The sequence below is a fragment of the Homo sapiens genome, chromosome 8, assembly GCF_000001405.40.
Source record: "Homo sapiens chromosome 8, GRCh38.p14 Primary Assembly".
NCBI lineage: Eukaryota > Metazoa > Chordata > Mammalia > Primates > Hominidae > Homo > Homo sapiens.
This window is the reverse complement of record NC_000008.11, coordinates 48,016,993-48,039,355: the sequence shown is the minus strand read 5'-3', so window position 1 is coordinate 48,039,355 and position 22,363 is coordinate 48,016,993. Positions and strand designations below refer to the sequence as shown.

The following is a 22,363-nucleotide window of genomic DNA, read 5'->3' as shown; positions in this document are numbered from 1 at the left end:
CTGGGCAAACGTGTAGATATTGGAAGTTCATTCACTGCTGAGATTAGAATAAACTGGTATAGAAGCTATAAATAAACATAGTTTTTATACATATATACATATGTAGCAAAAAGTATAAAGGTGTTAGTGGAAAAGATATTTAAAAATCAGGGGTCGGGCGAGGCACGGTGGCTCACGCCAGTAATCCCAACACTTTACGAGGCCAAGGCAGGTGGATCACCTGAGGGCAGGAGTTCGAGACCAGCCTGGCCAGCATGGTCAAACCCGTCTCTACTAAAAATACAAACCCATCTCTACTAAAAATTCTCCTAAGGCAGGAGAATCGCATGAACCCAAGAGGCAGAGGTTGCGGTGAGCTGGGATCACGCCACTGCACTTCAGCCTGGGTGACAGAGCAAGACTCTGTCTCAAAAAAAAAAAAAAAAAATCAGGATTATTGGGCCAGGTGTGGTGGCTCATGCCTGTAATCCCAACACTTTGGGAGACTGAGATGGGCAAATCACTTGAGTTCAACACCAGCCTGGTCAACACAGTGAAACCCTGTCTCTACTAAAAATACAAAAAACTCGCTGGGTGGCTGGACATGGTAGCTCACGCCTGTAATCCCAGCACTTTGAGAGGCTGAGGCAGGCGGATCATTTGAGGTCAGGAGTTCGAGACCAGCCTGGCCAACATGGTGAAACCCCATCTCTACTAAAAACACAAAAGAATTAGCCAAGCATGGTGGCGTGCGCCTGTAGTCCCAGCTACCTGGGAGGCTGAGGCAGGAGAATCACCTGAACCTGGGAGGCAGAGGTTGTAGTGAGCCAAGATTGTGCCACTGCACTCCAGCCTGGGAGACAGAGCGAAACTCTGTCTCAAAAAAAAAAAAAATTAGCTGGGCATGGTGGTGCGCACCTGTAGTCCCAGCTACTCAGGAGACTAAGGCGGGAGGATCACTTGCACAGGAAGCAGAGGTTGTAGTAAGCCAAGATCACGCCACTACACTCCATTTTGGGTGACGGAGTCCGACTCTGTCTCAAAATAAATAAATAAATACAAATAATAAAAATCAGGATATTGATGACCTCTGGGCAAAGAGAAAGTGGCCTAGGACTAAGAAGTGAAAATAGGACTTTAAATGTACTAGAAATGTTCTGTTTCCAAAAAACAATCTGAAGCAAGAATTTATTAGAATGTGAATAGCCAGGGTGGGTATATGTGTATTCACGTATTTTCCTGGTGTTTGAAATATTTTATTTAAAAAGAAAAGGGAGGATTGGACGGGTGGAGCCAAAAAAGGCGTGGGGAGGACATTACAAAAGAGAGAGAGAATGCTGGGCAATGTTTGGGGACTGCAACTGAGTATGAGAGCAAAGAGTCAGAAATGGCCTGGAAGGGCACCCTTAGCAATTCAGCCTTTATCTGCAGCAATGAGGATTCAGGGAGGGGTTTTAAGCATAAACTTCACTTTGCTGCAACGTGGGAATGGATTGGGAGGTAAGAGGAGGAGAAAAGTATCAGCTGTTATAAAAGACCAAGAAACAGGATGATCAGGGAAGAAGTGTTAAGCACTCAGTTAACTGAGACAAAGTTGTGGTTCATTTTACTGTTGTAATTCTTTGGTTTTATTTATTTATTTCCATTTTAACAGCACCAAATGTCTACTGTGAGCCAAAGAATTGTGGCTAGGCCCATGATCTAGCCATGATAGTCAAAGTCCTGCTCTTGTGGAGCTTAAAGTTCAGCAGGGCATCAAGACACAGAAACCACAATTAGAGAAGGAGAAGCGTAAGAAGGAGGAGGTAACATCATAAAGCGAGAGTTTTGCTCTACTAAGAACCTAACCAGATGACTGAGCAAAGTGCTTTCTTTTTATACTTTGCATACTTCTACTAAACTGTATCAGTGGTATACATACAACTTTTTGTCTACCCCAATATATCTCAATGACCAACACACAAGAGCCTAGTACAGGAAGGCAACCCACTGCCCTGGGGAGAAGAGGCAAAAGAAAGGAGAAATCCTATCACTTTGCTTCCTTCCCCCACCTCTATCCCTAGTCAGAATCCCTGCTGAAACACATTATTTCTAAAGCCTTATCCTTTCATAGACTGATTCTAAAAGAAACAACCAATCCCTGTGATGCCCAAAATGTCACTTCCTAAAACTTCATAACCTATATACGTATTTTTCTGAGACAGAGTCTTGCTCTTGTCGCCCAGGACAGAGTGCAATGGCACGATCTCGGCTCACTGCAACCTTTGCTTCCAGGGTTCAAGTGATTCTCCTGCCTCAGCCTTCCAAGTAGCTGGGATTACAGGTGCCTGCCACGATGCATGGCTAATATTTGTATTTTTAGTAGAGACGGGGTTTCGCCATGTTGGCCAGGCTTGGTCTCAAACTCCTGACCTTGTGATCCGCCCACCTTGGCCTCCCAAAGTGCTGGCATTACAGGCGTGAGCCACCGCGCCTGGCCAGCTCATATATATTAACTATCTGTCATGAGTCAAGAATCTGGATACCACAAATACCCTGAGATTTGATCTATACATTCTATGCACACAATGAAAGATCACATGTACCCCCACAAAATATGTAAAATATTATGTATCAACATCAATTGAAAAAATATTTTTGAGTCGGCCAGGCAGTGGCTCATGCCTGTAATCCCAGCACTTTGGGAGGCCAAGGCGGGTGGATCACAAGGTCAGGAGTTTAAGACCAGCCTGGACAAGATGATGAAACCCCGTCTCTAGCCTAAAGATACAAAAAATTAGCCCGGCGTGGTGGTGCGTGCCTGTAATCCCAGCTACTCAGGAGGCTGAGGAAGGAGAATTTCTTGAACCCAGGTGGCAGAGGTTGCAGTGAGCCAAGATCGCACCACTGCACTCCTGCCTCAGTGACAGAGTGAGACTCTGTCTCAAAAAATATATATTTTTTTGAGTCAAGAATCATTATACTCTATACCAAATTAAAGATGGCCACAAATTCTTTGCTATTCCTCCCACTAGTAAGTGAAGTCTGATTTTCCTCCTCCTTTAATATTCCTTCATTTCATTTGGAGCACTACTTAAGAACATCAGACATGACCCTATCCTAAGAAATTTTTTTTTTTAATTGGCCAGGTGTGGTGGCTCACACCTGTAATCTTAACACTTTGGGAGGCCAAGGTGGGAGGATCGCTTGAGCCCAGGAGTTCAAGACAAGCCTGAGCAACATGCAAAACCCCATCTCTACAAAAAAATGCAAAAATTAGCCAGGCATGGTGGTGCACAGCTGTAGTCTGAGCTGCTCCGGAGGCTAACATGGAAGGATCACTTGAGCCTGGGAGGTAGAGGCTGCAGTGAGCCATGTTTGTTCACGCCACCACACTCTAGCCTGGGTGACAGAGTGAGATTCGGTCTCAAAAAAAAAAAAAAAAAAAAGAAAGGCAAGGGGAGAAAAGTAATAATTACAAGGTATACAACTTCCAATTTTTTTTTTGAGACGGAGTGTCACTCTGTCACCCAGGCTACAGTGCAGCGGCATGATCTCAGCTCACTGCAACCTCCGCCTCATGAGTTTAAGTGATTCTCCTGCCTCAGCCTCCTGAGTAGCTCTGGCATAGTGGCATGTACCTGTAATTCCAGCTCCTGCGAGGCTGAGGCAGGAGAATCACTTGAACCCGGGCCCAGTCTCAAAAAAAAAAAAAAAAAAAAAGCATACATACATATACACACACACACACACACACACACACACAAAAAAAAAAAAACAATAATTTTTAAATATGTATTGTGATTTGACTTAAATGCTACTTTGTGAAATTTCCCCTCAGGACAAAAAAACAGGGCGCAGAATGCCTGCAGAGTGCTGTGAGCCATCCTCCACCCTCCAGGCCCAGGCACACCCCTCCTCCCCTTGAAGCTGCGCAAACCTTCCTACCTGTTTTATCAGTAGAAGAGGGGAGCAGTGGCAGGGCGCGGTGGCTCATGCCTGTAATCCCAGCACTTTGGGAGGCCAAGGTGGGTATATCACCTGAGGTTAGGAGTTTGTGACCAGCCTGTCCAATATGGTGAAACCCCGTCTCTACTAAAAATACCAAAAAAAAATTAGCTGGGCATGGTGGTGCACACCTGTAGTCCCAGCTACTCTGGAGGCTGAGACATGAGAATTGCTTGAACCCGGGAGGCAGAAGTAGCAGTGAGCTGAGATTGTGCCACTGCACTACAGCCTCGGCGACAGAGTGAGACTCCACCTCCAAAAAAAAAAAAAAAAAAAAAAAAAGAATAAATAGGGAAGCAGCAATGCTAAGGCCAGTTCTGGCACTCACCTTGTAAGAGGAATGCTAACTTCTGCTTTCGTTCTTTTGGAAGCCAACCATCATGTAAGAATTCTGAACACCCTGACACCACCGGGATGTGAGGAAGTCCTAACTGGCCACCTGGAGAGGCTGCAGGGAGGGGGAGCAAGGCGTCCCGGGCAACAAGCCTATCCCTTCACCAGCTGATGCAACCACATGAGTGACTCTAAGTGAAACCAGCAGAAGAACCACCCAGTCAACTCCCATATTATAAGAAAAAAATCAATCATCGTTTGAAGCCACAAAGTTTTGATGTAATTTGTTACACAGCAATAAATAAATGAAGGGAGGGGGGTTGGAAAAGCAATCTGAACAAAAATGTTTATTTGGCAGTGCAAAAACTTAAGAAGCCAATTGGTATACATTCAGGCAAACTATGTCACATAATTTAAAATATTATATAAAGTCATTTTAAACTACATGAATTATATTAATTGTGTATAAGTTAAAAAAAAAGGGGGGGTGGGGGAGACCTAATAGCAGCACATATATTTTGATCATAATTCTAAAAAAAACTCTCATGTATACATCAGTATGGATCCAAAGACAAACTACAATTGACTTTTAAAATTCATTGGGAGTGAGGAATCTTTAAAAAAAGAAAACAGGGCAAGTGCGGTGGCTCACGCCTGTAATCCCAGCACTTTGGGAGGCCAAGGCAGGGGGATCACAAGGTCAGGAGTTCGAGACCAGCCTGGCCAACATAGTGAAACCCCATCTCTACTAAAAATACAAAAAAATTAGCCTGGCTTCATGGTGGCGGGAATCTGTAATCCCAGCTACTTGGGAGGCTGAGGCAGGAGAATCGCTTTAACCCAGGAGGTGGAGGATGCAGTGAGCCAAGATGGCACCACTGCACTCCAGCCCGGTGACAGTGCGAGACTCCATCTCAAAAAAAAAAAAGGAAAAGAAAACAGAGGTCAAATATTAAGACAGAATAAAAACAGTGGTTACCAAGGTTGGAGCTGGAAAGGAAATAGGGAGCTATAGACCAAGGGATACAAAGTAGCAGGTATGTAGGATGAACAAGTCTGCAGATCTAATGAACAGCATGAGGACTTTCTTCTTTTTTTTAGCAACAGGGTCTCCCTCTATTGCCCAGGCTAGAGCACAGTGGCTTAATCAAAACTCACTGCAGCCTCATCCACCTAGGCTCAAGCGATCCTCCCACCTTAGCCTCCCAAGTTGCTGGGACTACAGTCGCATGCCAACATGCAAGGTAATTTTTGTATTTTTTGTAGAGACGGGGTTTTGCCATGTTGCCCAGGCTAGTCTCGAACTCCTGGGCTCAAGTGATCAGCCTGCCTCGGCCTCCCAAAGTGCTAGGATTATAGATATGAGCCCGCACCCAGCCATGAGGACTTTTAATAAGAGTTTGCTATAGTCAGGATTTTTGCTCTTGCCACAGGGAGGAAAACAGGTAACTGTAAGATGATGAATATGTTAATTTGACTCACTATAGTAACCATTTTCCTATATATCTCATAACATGATATATATGCCTTAAATACACACAATAAATTTTATTTTAAAAAAACAAGGAATGAGCCAGGTGTGGTGGCTCATGCCTGTAGTCCCAGCACTTTGGGAGGCCAAGGCAGGAGGATTACTTGAGTCCAGGAGTTCGAGACCAGCCTGGCCAACACGGTGAAACCCCATCTCTACTAAAAATACAAAAATTAGCCAGCGTGGTGGTGAAAGCCCATAATCCCAGTTACTCAGGTGGCAGAGGCAGGAGAATCGCTTGAACCTGGGAGGCAGAGGTTGCAGTGAGCTGACATCACACCACTGCACTCCAGCCTGGGCAACAGAGAAAGACACCGTCTCAGGAAAAAAAAAATGGAAAAAGAATAAAAAAAATCACTGAGTCTTTTTGCCTTGTAAAGTTGTTAGAATATCTGAGGACACTAAGAAAAGTCAAGTCTTTTCAAGCAAATGAGTCCTTCATGTGATAACTTTACTCTGTCTTGTACTCTGGATGGTATGCCCCTGCTCCTTTCAAGGCATCCTCAGTGGAATTCCTTGCTGAGTGGGTCTGCCATCCTATCCGCTTTTAACACTCATCCAGCAAAGAAATGAGTATGAATCATAAGCCCCACCACAGTTCTACACTCAGGAAAACTGTTCCAGAATCCTAACTGGGCCCATAACCCCCACTGGCTGTTTCAAAAACATCAGTTACAACCCCACTCTCAAGAACACTATTTGTTGACATTAATAATGTCAATAATGTCAATAATACACAATTATTGACATCAAAGCATATGCTGGGGTGTGTGTGCATGTGTGTCTGCGTGTTTGTTTTGAGACAGGGACTCTGTCGCCATGGCTCACTACAGCCTCAAATTCCTAGGCTCAAGAGATCCTTCCACGTCAGCCTCCAGAGTAGCTGGGACTGCAGGCATGCACCGCCACACGCAGCTAATTTTTAAAATATTTTTAGTAGAGACAAGGTCTTGCTAGGCTGCCCAGGCTGGTCTCAAACTCCCAGGCTCAAGGGGTCCTCCTGCCTCAGCCTCCCAAAGTACTGAGATTATAGGTGTGAGCCCCATGCCCAGCTACACTTTTTCTGAACTTTAAATTTGAAATACATCCATCATTCAGACACTGTGAATTTATACAAATAGATTTAATACTAAAAACTATATTTATATAATTCACCAAAAAAAATCAGAAGGTAATATTCTTTTGCTGAAATGAAGGTTTACCAGATAAACCAATTTTCAACTTTAGCCTCTAAAATATTTCAAAAAATTGTATGAGATTAAAAATATATTTCAATAGAATACATTTAAGTTTAAATTGATCACAATTGCTTAGTATTCAGTTAACAAATGAGAACACGTCAGTATGTTTGTAGAATCCAGTATTTGAAATCTATTATATATTCACCTCAATGTGGGCATCTTAACAGTTTTTTTAAATACTGTCTTTGATCAAATCTAAGATGGCATAACCAACTACATGATACCATAATTTTAAAAAATTTAAACACTCTACCAATTAAACTACAACACATATATCCACTTCGGATATTTCAATGTGTTTTAGAATTGATGAAATATAGCAGAAAAAAATGTAATTTATAAAAACAAAATTTACTCACACCTGCAATCCCAGCACTTTGGGAGGCCAAGGCGGGTGGATCATGAGGTCAGGAGATTGAGACCATCCTGGATAACATGGTGAAACCCCCGTCTCTACTAAAAATACAAAAAATTAGCCGAGAGTGGTGGCACACACCTCTACTCGGGAGGCTGAGGCAGGAGAATCGCTTGAATTTGGGAGGCGGAGGTTGCAGTGAGCCAAGATCACATCACTGCACTCCAGCCTGGGTGACAGAGCAAGACTCCGTCTCAAAAAAGAAAAAAACAAATTCAAGTCAAACTTCGTACATCTGAAGCATCTGTACTACACTTTCAAACACAAGTGGAAAAACCTCTGGATTAGAGGATTTGCAAAGTATCTCAATTCTGTGGTGTGGAGAATACATTACATACAGGAGAAATTAATCATACTACTGTTACTCTTTAGGTTGTAACCAAAACCACCCTACCCCCAGCCACTGCCAAAAAATCACCACCTATATGGAGAGTTCATTTAGAATCTATTTGTTAGATATTAACTCAGCTAGATAAGGGGAAAATAAGCGGCTTCATGATTTTAGATTTAATGAATATATATGAACTAAAATATTCTTTTAGTAGTTTTACTTCAGAAAAGCAAACTAAAAATAAAACAGTGAAATATTACAATCTACAAAAAGGAAAGGCTAAGTTGTTTTTTTGTTGTTGTTGTTGGGGGGGGTTTGTTTGTTTGTTTTGAGACAGAGTCTTGCTCTGTCACCCAGGCTGGAGTGCAGTGGCACCATCTCAGCTCACTGCAACCTCTGCCTCCCAGGTTCAAGTGCTTCTCCTGGCTCAGCCTCCGAAGTAGCTGGGATTACAGGTGCCTGCCACCACACCTGGCTAATTTTTGTTTTTGTGTTTTGGTTTTTTATTTTTGAGACAGAGTCTCGCTCTGTGGCCCAGAGCCACAATGAAGGGCAATGGTGCAATCTCAGCTCACTGCAACCTCCACTTCCCAGGTTCAAGAGATTCTCCCGCCTCAGCCTCCCAAATAGCTGGGACTACAGGCATGTACCACTACTCCTGGCTAATTTTTGTATTTTTAGTAGAGACGGGGTTTCACCGTGTTGGCCAAGCTGGTCTCAAACTCCTGACTTCAAGTGATCCGCCCACCTCAGCCTCCCAAAGTGCTGGGATTACAGGAGTGAGCCACCATGCCTAGCCAGTTTTTGTTTTGTTTTTTGTTTTTGAGACAGGGTCTCACTCTGTCACCCAGGCTGGAGTACACGATCTCAACTCACTGCAACCTCCACCTCCCAGGCTTAAGCAATTCTCCCACCTCAGCCCCACAAGTAGCTGGCACCACTGGCGCATGCCACTACATCCAGCTAATTTTTGTATTTTTAGTAGAGACAGGGTTTCGCCATGTTGCCCAGGCTGGTCTCGAACTCCTGGGCTCAAGTGATCTGCCTGCCTGGGCCTCCCAACATGCTGGGATTAGAAGCGTGAGCCACTGCGCCCAGCCTGAAAAGCTAGGTTTTACTTGAGTCCTTTATTTTCTCATTATTAAATCTCTGACATAGAAAGAAACTGTACCATAGAAAATGATGACACAACAGGCACTTGATAAACACCTGGTGAATTTATGGCAAATGTTTGTTTTTAATCTTTCTCTCAATATGTATAAACTGACAGCAGATGTTGCTGATACTGAACACAGAATCCTTTCCCCAGGACATTACTATCTCGTGGGGAAGACAACCATGTAAGTGAATACATCCAAATATAATGCAGTAAGTTATTGCAGAAGATTTCACCTGGATACACTACAGATATCCCAATGAGATAAGCCAATGAATGTAGCAGTTACTTCACATTCTCCAGTGAGGTAGCTAAGAATGTTTATTGCAGAACTATCAAGGGAGACTTCCCTTAGAATACACTAGGGAGTGGAAGAAAGTTAAGTAAGCTAATATATTCTGGTTCCTCTCTAGTTTTAATTTCTAAGTAAAATTAGGATGGCATGCACTTTAAAAGATGTGAGGTCTTCTAACGGAGACTATTAAATGGGCATAACTGCTCACCTGTGAGTCCAGGAAGCTGTAGCTGGCTTCCACAGTCAGAAAGCCATATTAAGCAAAATAAACAGATATCTCTCCAAATCACTGTTTATGAGGTAAAAACTTGAGAAAATTAAAGACTTCTCAATAACATAAGTATTTCCTCTGAGGACATAACCATTTACATCAGTACTGTTTAGTAAACAACAATCAATAATTTAGGTAGCAGATGACAATGGCATGAAGAGCAGTACACCAAGCAATGCACTGTCTGTACTTTTCAAGAACATTCCAATCCATAAATTGAAAAACCTCTGGCATAATTATACTACTTCCAAAGAATAAAACTGTTTACAGTATGCATGGTATCTGGCTATCGAACTTTTTTTAGTGAGATTAAACCTCACCTGGCAAGAAGAGCTCAGACTCCTGCCCTTCTGTCATACAGTAATCACAACCAGAGCATCAACTAGAATTCACAGTACTTCATCAGGTTGTTTTTATTCATTTATATTTTAGTTTCTGACCATATCCTGCATGAAACATGGTTCTCTGATGTTTGTGTGTTCATTTTAGAGACAGGGTCTTACTCTGTTGCCCAGGCTGGTGGGCAGTGGTACAATCATGTCTCACTGCAACCTCGAACTTCTGGGCACAAGTGATCCTCCTGCCTTAGCCTCCTGAGGAGCTGGAACTATAGGCACACAGCATTGTGCCCAGCTAATTTTTTTATTTTTTTGTAGAGACAGGATCTCGGTACGTTGCCCAGGCTGCTCTCAAACTCCTGACCTCAAGTGATCTGCCTACCTTGGCCTCCTACTGCACCTGGCCTGAACATTATTGTTTTTAAAACAAAGTACCAGCTAGATGATGAGCTACATACAAAAAGCCAGAATCTGCATTTAAATGAAGTAGAAAAAAAATTAATTGGTCTTCATCAAAATTTTAAACTTTTGGGTTCCAAAGGACAACATCAAGAAAGTGAAGACAATCTACAGAATGAAAGAAAATACTTGCAAACCATACATCTGATAAAGGACTTGTATCCAGAATACATAAAGAACTCCGATAACTCAACAATAAAAAGACAAACAGCCCAATTTAAAAATGGGTAAAGGGGTCGGGTGCAGTAGCTCACACCTGTAATCCCAACACTTTGGGAGGCCGAGGTAGGCAGATCACTTGAGGTCAGGAGTTTGAGACAAGCCTGGCCAACATGGTGAAACTCCGTCTCTACTAAAACTACAAAAAAAATTAGCTGTGTTGGTCTGGACACAGTGGCTCACGCCTGTAATTCCAGCACTTTGGGAGGCCGAGGTGGGCAGATCACCTGAGGTCAGGAGTTCGAGATTAGCCTGACCAACATGGTGAAACCCCATCTCTAATAAAAATACAAAATTCGCCAGGTGTGGTGGCACATGCCTGTAATCCCAGCTACTTGAGAGGCTGAGGCAGGAGAATTGCTTGAACTCAGGAGGCAGAGGTTGCAGTGAGCCAAGATTGCGCCATTGCACTCCAGCCTGGGCAACGAGAACGAAACTCTGTCTCAAAAAAAAAAAAAAAAAGAAAACAGCCGGGTGTGGTGGCACACACCTGTAATCCTAACTACTCTGGAGGCTAACGTGGGAGGATCACTTGAACCTGGGAGATGGAGGTTGCAGTGAGCTGAGATCATGACACTGCACTCCGGCCTGGATGACAATGCAAGACTCCAGCTCAAAAATAAATAAATAAATAAAAATGAGTAAAGGGGCCAGGCACAGTGGCTCATGCCTGTAAATCCCAGCACTTTGGGAGGCCAAGGCAGGCAGATCACGAGGTCAGCAGTTCAAGACCAGCCTGGCCAACATGGTGAAATCCCATTTCTACTAAAAATACAAAAATTAGCCAGGCGTGGTGGTGGGCACCTGTAATCCCAGCTACTTGGGAGGTTGAGGCAGGAGAATCGCTTGAACCCAGGAGGCAGAGGTTGCAGTGAGCCAAGACCGCGCCATTGCACTCCAGCCTGGGCGAGAGCGAGACTCCGTCTCAAAAACAAAAAAAAAATGAATAAAGAATCTGAATAGACATTTCTCCAAAGAAGATATATAAATAGCCAGTAAAGGGCCAGGTGCAGTGGCTTACGCCTGTAATGCCACAATTCTGGGAGGCTGAGGCAGGTGGATCACTTGAGCCAAGCAATTCAAGACCACCCTGGGCAACATGGTGAAACACCATCTCTACTAAAAATACAAAAATTACCCAGGCATAAAGGCGCGTGCCTGCAGTCCCAGCTACTCAGGAGGCTGAGGCAGGAGAATCACTTGGGTATAGGAGGTGGAGACTGCAGTAAGCCAAGACTGCACCACTACATTCCAGCCTGGACAACAGAACAAGAACCTGTCTCAAAAAATTAAATAAATAAATAAAAACTAGTAAGCACATGAAAAGATACTCAATAACACTAGTTATCAGGGAAATGCAAATCAAAACCACAATGAGATACCACTTAACACCCACTAGAATGGCTACAATCAAAGTCAGATAATAAGTGTTGGTAAGGATGTGGAGAAACTGGGACCTTCATATACTGCTGGTAGGAATATAAAATGGTCTCCTTTTGGGCCCGGGCAGAGTGGCTCATGCCTGTAATCCCAGCACTTTGGGAGTTCAAGGCAGGGAGATCACTTGAGGTCAAGAGATCAAGACCAGCCCGGCCAACTTGGCAAAATCCAGTCTCTACTAAAAACACAAAAATTAGACAGGCATGGTAGCGCAGGCTTGTCATCCAAGCTACGTGGCATCCAAGCTACGTGGGAGGCTGAGGCAGGAGGATCACTTGAGCCCAAGAGGCTGAGGTTGCAGTGGACTGAGATCACACCACTGCACTCCAGCCTGGGCAACAGAGCGAGACTCCGTCTCGAAAAAAAAGAAGTCTCCCTTTGGAAAACAGCCTAGCAGTTCCTCAAACAGCTAAACATAGTTAACATGACCCAGCAGTTCCACTCCTAGGTATCTACTCAAGCGGGGCGGGGGTGGAACGTGTACATAAATGTTTACAGCAGCCTTATTCCCAATAGCCAGATGGTGGAAAACACCACCAACATGATGAATGAATAAACAAAAATGTGGTGTATCCAATGCACTGGAATATTCTTCAGCCATAAAAACATGTAAATACTGATACATGCTACAACATGGATGACCCTTAAAAACATTACGCTAAGTGAAAGAAGCCAGTCACAAAAGACCACATAATATATAAATCTACACATATGAAAGTACAGAATGGGTAAATCTATTGAGACAGATTATAGTAGTCAGGGGCTGAGGTTTGGAGGTATAGAACAGTGAGAGCTAAAGGGTACAGAGTTTCTTTCTGAGGTGATAAAATGTTCTAAAATGACCACAGTTACATATATCTGTGAACATGCCAGAAATCAGTGAATTGTACACTTTAAATAGACAACTGTATGGTATGTGAATTATATCTCAGTAAAGTTGTCTTGAAACAACAGCTCCCTGAAACCAAACTCAATATTCATTTACATCTCCATCCACCAGAAGTTCAGCTTTCTTATGAAGCATCCCTCAAAGGTGTGGTCAAATCCTAGAGGAAACTGGCCCTTTTCCATAGAACTTTAGATTTTAGTAACCACTTCATAAGCCCTAGAGAGAATAAGAAGCCCGGGTTACATAGCTGTTGTCCAATCTTCCCAGTCCCAAAACTCCTGGAACCAAGTTCTTCCTACCCGATAATATACAGTTTTATCTAGAGGCAGCCTACTTGGGGAAGTAGGTAAAAGGAAGAATAAAATGAAAAAAAAAAAGAAAGGAACAGTACTAAATATTCTAAAGGGTCACTTTAGGAATAACAGCTGCAATACTGAAATGTTTAGGATAACTCATCAGGTTGTAAATTCTACCTCTGATACAGAGATACGTTTCTATCAAACACTTAAAACACTCCCAATAACCTCCCTTTCCCTCGCCTCCCTTAGATAAACCTCAGATAGAAAATCCAGAGCCCGGTGCGGTGGCTCACGCCTGTAATCCCAGCACTTTGGGAGACCAAGGCAGGCGGATCACGAGGTCAGGAGATTGAGACCATCCTGGCTAACACGGAGAAACCCCGACTCTACAAAAAATACAAAAAAATTAGCCGGTCGTGGTGGCGGGTGCCTATAGTCCCAGCTACTCGGAAGGCTGAGGCAAGAGAATGGCGTGAACCCAGGAGGCGGAGCTTGCAGTGAGCCGAGATCACGCCACTGCACTCCAGCCTGGGCAACAGAGCAAGACTCCATCTCAAAAAAAAAAGAAAGAAAAAAAAAAGAAAATCCAGATTTAGGCCAGGCACGGTGGCTCACGCCTATAATCCCAACACTTTGGGAGGCCAAGGCGGGCAGATTACTTGATGTCAGGAGTTCAAGACCAGCCTGGTCAATATGGTGAAACCCTTTTCTCTACTAAAATACAAAAAAAAAATAATAATAATCAGCTAAGTGTGGTGGTGCACACCTGTAATCCCAGCTACTCAGGAGGCTGAGGCAGGAGAATTGCTTGAACCCTGCACAAGTTGCAGTGAGCCGAGATCGCACCACTACACTCCAGCCTGGATGACAGAGTGAGACTCCATCTCAAAAAAAAAAAAGAAAAGAAAAGAAAATCACAGATTTATAAGAATCACTGGCCAGGCATGGTGGCTCACGCCTGTAATCCCAGCACTTTGGGAGGCCGAGGCAGGCAGATCATGAGGGTCAGGAGATCGAGACCATCTCCTGGCTAACACGGTGAAACCCCGTTTCTACTAAAAATACAACAAGCTAGCCGGGCGTGGTGGCACACGCCTGTAGTTCCAGCTACTCGGGAGGCTGAAGCTGGAGAATCACTTGAACCCAGGAAGCGGAGGTTGCAGTGAGCTGAGATTGCACCACTGCACTCCAGCCCGGGCAACAGAACAAGACTCGTTCTAAAAAAAAAAAAAAAAATCAGTAAGGGAACAAATAATATATATGTATTTACCTGCAATACCAAATATGTGCTTACAAAAAAGATTTATGTGAATATTGACCAGCATTTAGCCACTGAAATCGCTTTTTCTAAATTTTTGTTACTCATTTCAATAAAATCCTTCACACCTTAAAAGAACATGGAGTTTTAATATTCTATTAATGCCTTTAGACTCTATCAAGTATTTTGTCTTGATCCTTAACAGCATTTATCTGTAAAATAACATCACTGGGTTTCCAGGAAATAAAAGCAACCAAGGCATACGTAGGATACAGTGTGATACAGAAGCAGTATTTAAGAATCTCTTTTTTTTTTTTTTGAGACGGAGTTTAGCTCTTGTTGCCCAGGCTGGTGTGCAATGGCGCGATCTCGGCTCACCACAACCTCCATCTCCCAGGTTCAAGCGATTCTCCTACCTCAGTCTCCTGAGTAGCTGGGATTACAGGCATGTGCCACCATGCCCAGCTAATTTTGTATTTTCAGTAGAGACGGGGTTTCTCCATGTTGGTCAGGCTGGTCTCCAACTCCTGACCTCAGGTGATCCACCTACCCTGGCCTCCCAAAGTGCTGGGATTACAGGCATGAGCTACCATACCCAGCCAAGAGTCTTAAATCAAGATACCAGCTCTGGACTCAACATCTAGCTAAAAAATCCTGCAAAAGCCATTTCATATCTGTATTTCTACTGCTCATCTATAAAATGAACTTGGTCTAGAGTCCAGGCAATCCATAACATATATTCTATTAAACTGTTTTTTCTATTTCTATTTAAAAGTACCTATACACAGCCACAAGGATTTATCTCCTTCTAAGGTTTGAAACAGCTGCTGAGTTCCAGCTTACTGAAAATACCATCTGCTCTCACACAAATCAGCTAAGACTTTATAAACAAGAATAAAGCACTCCCAAACCCAGTCCTGAAGTCCCATCTTACATATGTCAAACTTATTTTAATCAGCTCTTTGAAAAAGAGCCTTTGAAAAAGTGAACTACGTTTGAAACAAACTTTCAAACATTGATTTTTTTTGTTTGTTTTTTTGAGACAGGGTCTCATTCTGCCACCCAAGCTGGAGTACAGTGGCGCAATCTTGGCTCAATGCAACCTCTGCCTCCTGGGTTCAAGTGATTCTCCCACCTCAGCCTCCCAAGTAGCTGGAGCTATAAGCAAGCACCATCATGCCTGGCTAATTTTTTTTTGCATTTTTAATAGAGATAGGGTATCACCATGTTGGCCAGGCTGGTCTCAAACTCCTGACCTCAAGTGATCCTCCTGCCTTGGCCTTCCAAAGTGCTGGGATTACAGGCGTAAGCCACTACTGCGCGCCCAGCCTGAACACTGAATGTTACTGTTTATTCTAGTTTGAATGCCTCATATCCACTTCTATCAAGTTTCATGTTAGGCTGGGCATGGTGGCTCACACCTGTGATCCCAGCACTTTGGGAGGCCGAGGCAGGTGGATCACCTGATGTCAGGAATTCAAGACCAGCCTGGCAAACATGGTGAAACCCCGTCTCTACTAAAAATACAAAAATCAGCTGAGCGTGGTGGTGCGTGCGTGTAGTCACAGCTACTCAGGAGGCTGAGGCAGGAGAATCACTTGAACCCAGGAGGCGGAGGTCGCAGTGAGCCAAGATCGCGCCACCGCACTACAGCCTGGCGATAGAGCAATACTCTGTCTCAAAAAAAAAAAAAAGTATATCTAAAGAAAAAGTAGCAAAAAAACTGTACAAATATGGAGAAAGTTATAAGTATATGGCTACAGGTTGAAGGGTCTCCAACCAGATTCAACCCAAATAAGACTACTCCAAGACATGTTATAACCAAACTGTCAAAGATCAAAGACAAAGAGAGAATCCTCAAGGCAGCAAGAGAAAAGAAGCAAATAACATATAAGAGACTTCCAATATACCTAGCAGCAGACTTCTCAACAGAAAACTTAGAGGCCAGGGGAGAGTGAGATGATACATTTAAAGCGCTCGCAGGGGCTGGGCTCACACCTGTAACCCCAGCACTTTGGGAGGCTGAGGCAGGCAGATCACTTAAGCCCAAGAGTTCAAGACCAGTCTGGGCAACAGACCTTGTCTCTCTTTAAAAAAAAAAAAAAATGCGACCAGGAAAAAATCTGTCCTTTAGACAAAGCTGTCTGTCCCAGGACAAAGCTGTTCTTCAGAAACAAAGGATAAAGACTTTCTCAGGCAAGCAAAAGCTGAAGGAGTTTATCACCACAAGACCTGCCTTACAAGAAATGCTATGGGAAGTTCTTCAAGCTGAAAGAAAAGGATACTGATGAGTAACACAAAAACATCTGAAAGTATAAAACTCACTGGGAAAAGTAAACACAAGGTCAACTTCAGAATACACTAATACTGTAATGGTGGAGTGTAAATTACTTGTATCTTTAGTAGGAAGGTTAAAAGACAAAACTATTGAAAGTAACTACAATAATTTGTAAAGGAATATGCAATATAAAAAGATGCAGGCTGGGCGTGGTGGTTCATGCCTGTAATCCCAGCACTTTGAGAGGCCAAGGCAGGTGGATTACCTGAGGTCAGGAGTTCGAGAGCAGCCTAGCCAACATGGTGAAACCCCATCTCCACTAAAAATACAAAAATTAGTGGGGTGTGGTGGCAGCCGCCTGTAATCAGCTACTCAGGAGGCTGAGGCAGGAGAATCACATGAACCCGGGAGGCGAAGGTTGCAGTAAGCCAAGATCAGATCATTGCACTCCAGCCTGGGTGACAAGAACGACACTGTCTCCAAAAAAAAAAAAAGATCCAAACTGTGACATCAAAAATTCAAAATGGGAGAGTAGGGTAAAAGTATAAAGGATTTTTTAGGCCATCAAGGCTAAGTTGTTATTAGTTTAAAATAACCTTTTGTAACTGTAAGATCTTTTCTGTAAGCCTCATGGTAACCACAAAGCAAAAACCTATATGCCAGGCGTGGTGGCTCACCCCTGCAATCCCAGCACTTTGGGAGGCTGAGGCAGGTGGATCATCTGAGGTAAGGAGTTCCAGACCAGCCTGACCAACATGGTAAAACCCGGTCTCTACTAAAAATTAGCCAGACATGGTGGCGCATACCTGTAATGGCAGCTACTCAGGAGGCTGAGGCAGGAGAATTGCTCGAACCCAGGAGGCAGAGGTTGCACTGAGCCAAGATCACACCACTGCACTCCAGCCTGGGTGACAGAGCAAAACTCCATCTCAAAAAAAAAAAGAGAGCCAGGCGCATTGGCTCATACCTGTAATCCCAGCACTTTGGGAAGATGAGGTGGGTGGATCACCTGAGGTCAAGAGTTCAAGACCGGCCGGGCGCAGTGGCTCACGCTTGTAATCCCAGCACTTTGGGAGGCCAAGGCGGGCAGATCACGAGGTCAGGAGATTGAGACCATCCTCACTAACACGGTGAAACCCCATCTCTACTAAAAATACAAAATATTAGCCGGGCGTGGTGGTGGGCACCTGTAGTCCCAGCTACTCAGGAGGATGAGGCAGGAGAATGGCATGAACCTGGGAGGCAGAGCTTACAGTGAGCCAAGATTGCACCACTGCACTCCAGCGTGGGCGACAGAGCGAGACTCCGTCTCAAAAAAAAAAAAAAAAAAAAGGGTTCGAGACCAGCCTAGCCAACACAGTGAAACCCTGTCTCTACTAAAAATACAAAAAATTAGCTGGGCGTGGTGGCGGCCACCTGTAAGCCCAACTACTAAGGAGGCTGAGACAGGAGAATTGCTTGAACCCAGGAGGCAGAGGTTGCAGTGAGCCGGGATCACGCCATTGCACTCCAGCCTGGGAAACAAGAGTGAAAATCCATCTTAAAAAAAAAAAAAAAAACCTATAATAGATAAAACATAAAAAGCAATAACAAGCCAGCAGAGTGGATCATGCCTGAAACCCCAGTGCTCTGGAGCCCAAGGTGGGAGAAGCACTTGAGGCCAGGAGTTCAAAGCTAGCCTGGGCAATATAGCAAGACGTTGTCTCTACAAAAATTAAAAAAAAAAAAAAAATTAGCTGGGCATCGTGGCACATGCCTGCATTCCTAGCTACTCAGGAGGCTGAGGCAGGAGGATCACTCCAGCCCAGGAGTTCAAACCCGCTTGCGCAACATGGCAAGACCCCGTATCTACAAGAAAATAAAATTAGCCAGGTTTGGTGGCACACACCTATAGTCCTAGCTACTCCAAAGGCTGAGGCAAGAAGACGGCTTGAGCCCATGAGTTGGAGGTTATAGTGAGCTATGACCAGGTCAGAGCAACACACTGTCTCAAAAAATAAAAAGGCGAGGAATCAAAAACATACTACTAGAGAAAATCAACCACCAAAGAAGACCATAGGAGAGGAAGAAAGGAGCTACAAAACAAATAGGAAACAATTAACAGGATGGCAGTATTAACTCATCTATCAATAATTACTCTAAATGTAAATGAATTAAATTATTTAATCAAGACATAGAGTGACTGAATGGTTAAAAAAAACAAGACCCAACTATATGCTGCCAATAAAAGACTCACCTCACCTGTACGGACACATGTAGACTGAAGGTGAAGGAATGGAAAAAGATATGCCATGCAAATGGAAATCAAGAGAGAACAAGACCCTATAATCCCAGCATTCTGAAAGGCCAAGGAGGGAAAATTGTTTGAGCCCAGGAGTTTGAAAGCATCCTGAGCAACATGTTGAGACCCCATCTCTACAAAAAATATAAAAAATTAGCAAGGCATAGTGGCATGCATCTGTGGTCAGCTACACAGGAGGCTGAGGTAGGAAAATCACTGATCTCAATAGTTCAAGGCTGCAGTGAGCCATGTTCACGCCACTGCACTCTAGCCTAGATAGGGAGACCTTGTCTCAAAAAAAAAAAAAAAGAGAGACAGAGAGAGAGAAAGCCCAAGAATTGCTTCACTTATATCAGATAAAATTATTTTTGTTTTTCTTTTTAGACAGAGTCTCACTCACTCTGTTGCCCAGGTTGGAGTACAGTCGCAGGATCTTGGCTCACTGTAACCTCCACCTCCTGAGTTCAAGCAATTATCCTGCCTCAGCCTCCCAAGTGGAATTATAGGCATATGGCACCATGCCTGGCTAATTTTTTTTTTTGAAACGGAGTCTAGCTCTGTCACCCAGGCTGAAGTGCAGTGGCGCAATCTCGGCTCACTGCAGCCTCCACCTCCCAGGTTCACGTGATTCTCCTGCCTCAGCCTCCTGAGTAGCTGGGATTACAGGCATGTGCCACCACGCCTGGCTAATTTTTGTATTTTTAGTAGAGACGGGGTTTCACCATGTTGGTCAGGCTGTTCTCAAACTCCTAACCTCATGATCCGCCAGCCTCAGCCTCCCAAAGTGCTGGGATTACAGGCATGAGCCACCATGCCCTGCCGTTTTTTTGAGACAGTCTCGCTCTGTTGCCCAGGCTGGAGGGCAGTGGCGCAATCAAGGCTCACTGCAATCTCCCGACTCCCAGGTTCACACGATTCTCCTGCCTCAGCCTCCCGAGTAGCTGGTACTACAGGAGCCCACCACCACGCCCAATTTTTGTTTGTTTTGTTTTGAGCAGGAGTCTTGTTCTGTCACCCAGGCTGGAGTGCAGTGCCGTGATCTCGGCTTACTGCAACCTCTGCCTCCCAGGTTCAAGCAATTCTCTGCCTCAGCCTCCCAAGTAGCTGGGGTCACAGGCGCCCGCCACCACACCTGGCTAATTTTTGTATTTTTAGTAGAGATGGGGTTTCACCATTTTGGCCAGGCTGGTCTTGAACTCCCAACCTCGTGCTCCACCTGCCTTGGCCTCTCAAAGTGCTGGGATTACAGGTGTGAGCCACCGCTCCTGGTCCAATTTTTGTATTTTTAATAGAGATGGGATTTCGCCATGTTGGCCAGGTTGGTCTTGAACTCCTGATCTCAAGTGATCCGCCCGCCTCGGCCTCCCAAAGTGCTGGGATTACAGGCATGAGCCACTATGCCTGGCCCCCAATAAAATAGATTTTTAAATCAAAAACTGTAAAAAAAAGATAGAGAAGGTCATTATGTAATAACAAAGGGGTCAATTTAGCAAGAGAATAATTGTAAATATATATGCACCCAACATCAAAGCACCTAAATATATAAAGCAAATATTAATAGATCTGAAAGATAGGTTGTACTACAGTAACAGTAGGAGATTTTCACACCTCACAATTAGCAATGCACAGATCATGCAGACAGAAAGCCAACAAGGAAACATGAGACTTAAGCTACACTATAGAACAAATGGACCTAAAAGACATACACAGAACATACCATTCAACAGTGGCATAATACATTATTTTAAGCTGCACATGGAACATTCTCAAGGATAGATCATATGTCAAGCCACAAAATAAGTCTTAACAAATTTAAGAAGATGGAAATCATATCAAATATCTTTTCTGACCACAATGGTATAAAACTAGAAATCATTAACAGGAGGATCTTCAGAAAATTCACAAAAACATGGAAGTTAAACACATGCTCTTGAACAACCAATAGGTCAATGAAGATATTAAAAAACAAATTAGGAAGTTTATTGAAAAAAATGAAAACTGAAACACACAGCATACAAAGCCTATGGAATACAGCAAAAGCAGTTTTAAGACAGAAGTTTTTATAACAATAAACACTGACATCATATGTCTTCTGCAAACAGGAACAGTTTAACTTCTTTTCCAATTAAGATGCCTTGTATTTCTTTCTCTTGTCTTATTGCTCTTTCTAGGACTTCCAGTATTATGTTGAACAGAAGTGGCAAAATTGGGCATTGTGCAGCTGGGCATGGTGGCTCACACCTGTAATCCCAGCACTTTGGGAGGCCGAGGCGTGTGGATCACCTGAGGTCAGGAGTTCGAGACCAGCCTGGCCAACATGGCGAAACCCCATCTCTACTAAAAATACAAAACATTAGCCAGGTATGGTGGCGTGCACCTGTAGTCCCAGCTACTCGGGAGGCTGAGGTGAGAGCCTGGGAAGTTGAGGCTGCAGCGAGCCGTGACTATGCCACTGCACTCCAGCCTGGGTGACAGGTTGAGACTGTCTCAGGAAAAAAAAAAAAAAAAAGGCAATCTATGAAACTACTAGAAAACAGGAAGAAAAGTCAATGGCATTGGTCTGGGCAATGATTTTTGGAGGATATGACCTCAAAAGCACACTCAACAAAAGCAAAAACAGACAATTTGGATCACATAAAACTAAAAATCTCCTGCACTGCAAAGGAAACAATAAAGAGAGAACTGGCAGGCGCGGTGGCTCTCGCCTGTAATCCTAGCACTTTGGGAGGCTGAGGCAGGCAGACCACCTGAGGTCGGGAGTTTATTACCAGCCTGACCAACATGGAGAAATCCCGTCTCTACTAAAAATACAAAATTAGCAGTGCATGGTGGCACATGCCTGTAATCCCAGCTACTTAGGAGGCTGAAGCAGGAGAATCCCTTGAACCCAGGAGGCAGAGCTTGCAGTGAGCTGAGATCGTGCCATTGCACTCCAGCCTGGGCAACAAGAGCGAAACTCCACCAAAAAAAAAAAAAAGAGAGAGAGAACATACAGAATGGTTCACTATACTCGTAAACTATATATCTGATAAGGGGTTAATAACCAAAATATATAAGGAACTCCATTCAATACCAAGAAAATAACCTCATGTAAAAATGGGTAAAAGATCTGAATAGACATTTCTCAAAAGACATACAAATGGCCAAGAGGTATATGAAAAAAATTCTCAACATCACTAATCATCAAAGAAATGCAAAAAAAAACCCACATGAGGTATCACCTCACTCCCATTAAAATGGCTATAATCAAAAGGATGAAAGATGAGGCCAAGCGCAGTGGCTCACGCCTGTAATCCCAGCACTTTGGGAGGCCAAGGCAGGTGGATCACCTGAGGTCGGGCGTTTGAGACCAGCCTAGCCTGG

General features: G+C 43.8%; 1 protein-coding gene across 3 annotated transcripts in view, besides 2 other annotated features; it reads right to left on the bottom strand.

Annotated features, from left to right (window-relative positions):
- Positions 1–22,363, bottom strand: part of UBE2V2 (ubiquitin conjugating enzyme E2 V2) — a 67,272-nt gene that overhangs the window by 25,353 nt on the left and 19,556 nt on the right. The gene's annotated exons all lie outside the window — the stretch shown is intronic.
- Positions 3,639–4,139: an enhancer, noted in NCBI's record as "H3K27ac hESC enhancer chr8:48947777-48948277 (GRCh37/hg19 assembly coordinates)". NCBI's record gives its function as "activates a minimal SCP1, AML or CMV promoter by ChIP-STARR-seq in primed H9 embryonic stem cells {active_cell/tissue: H9 hESC(primed)}" and the evidence as "EXISTENCE:reporter gene assay evidence [ECO:0000049][PMID:30033119]".
- Positions 4,140–4,640: an enhancer, noted in NCBI's record as "H3K27ac hESC enhancer chr8:48947276-48947776 (GRCh37/hg19 assembly coordinates)". NCBI's record gives its function as "activates a minimal SCP1, AML or CMV promoter by ChIP-STARR-seq in primed H9 embryonic stem cells {active_cell/tissue: H9 hESC(primed)}" and the evidence as "EXISTENCE:reporter gene assay evidence [ECO:0000049][PMID:30033119]".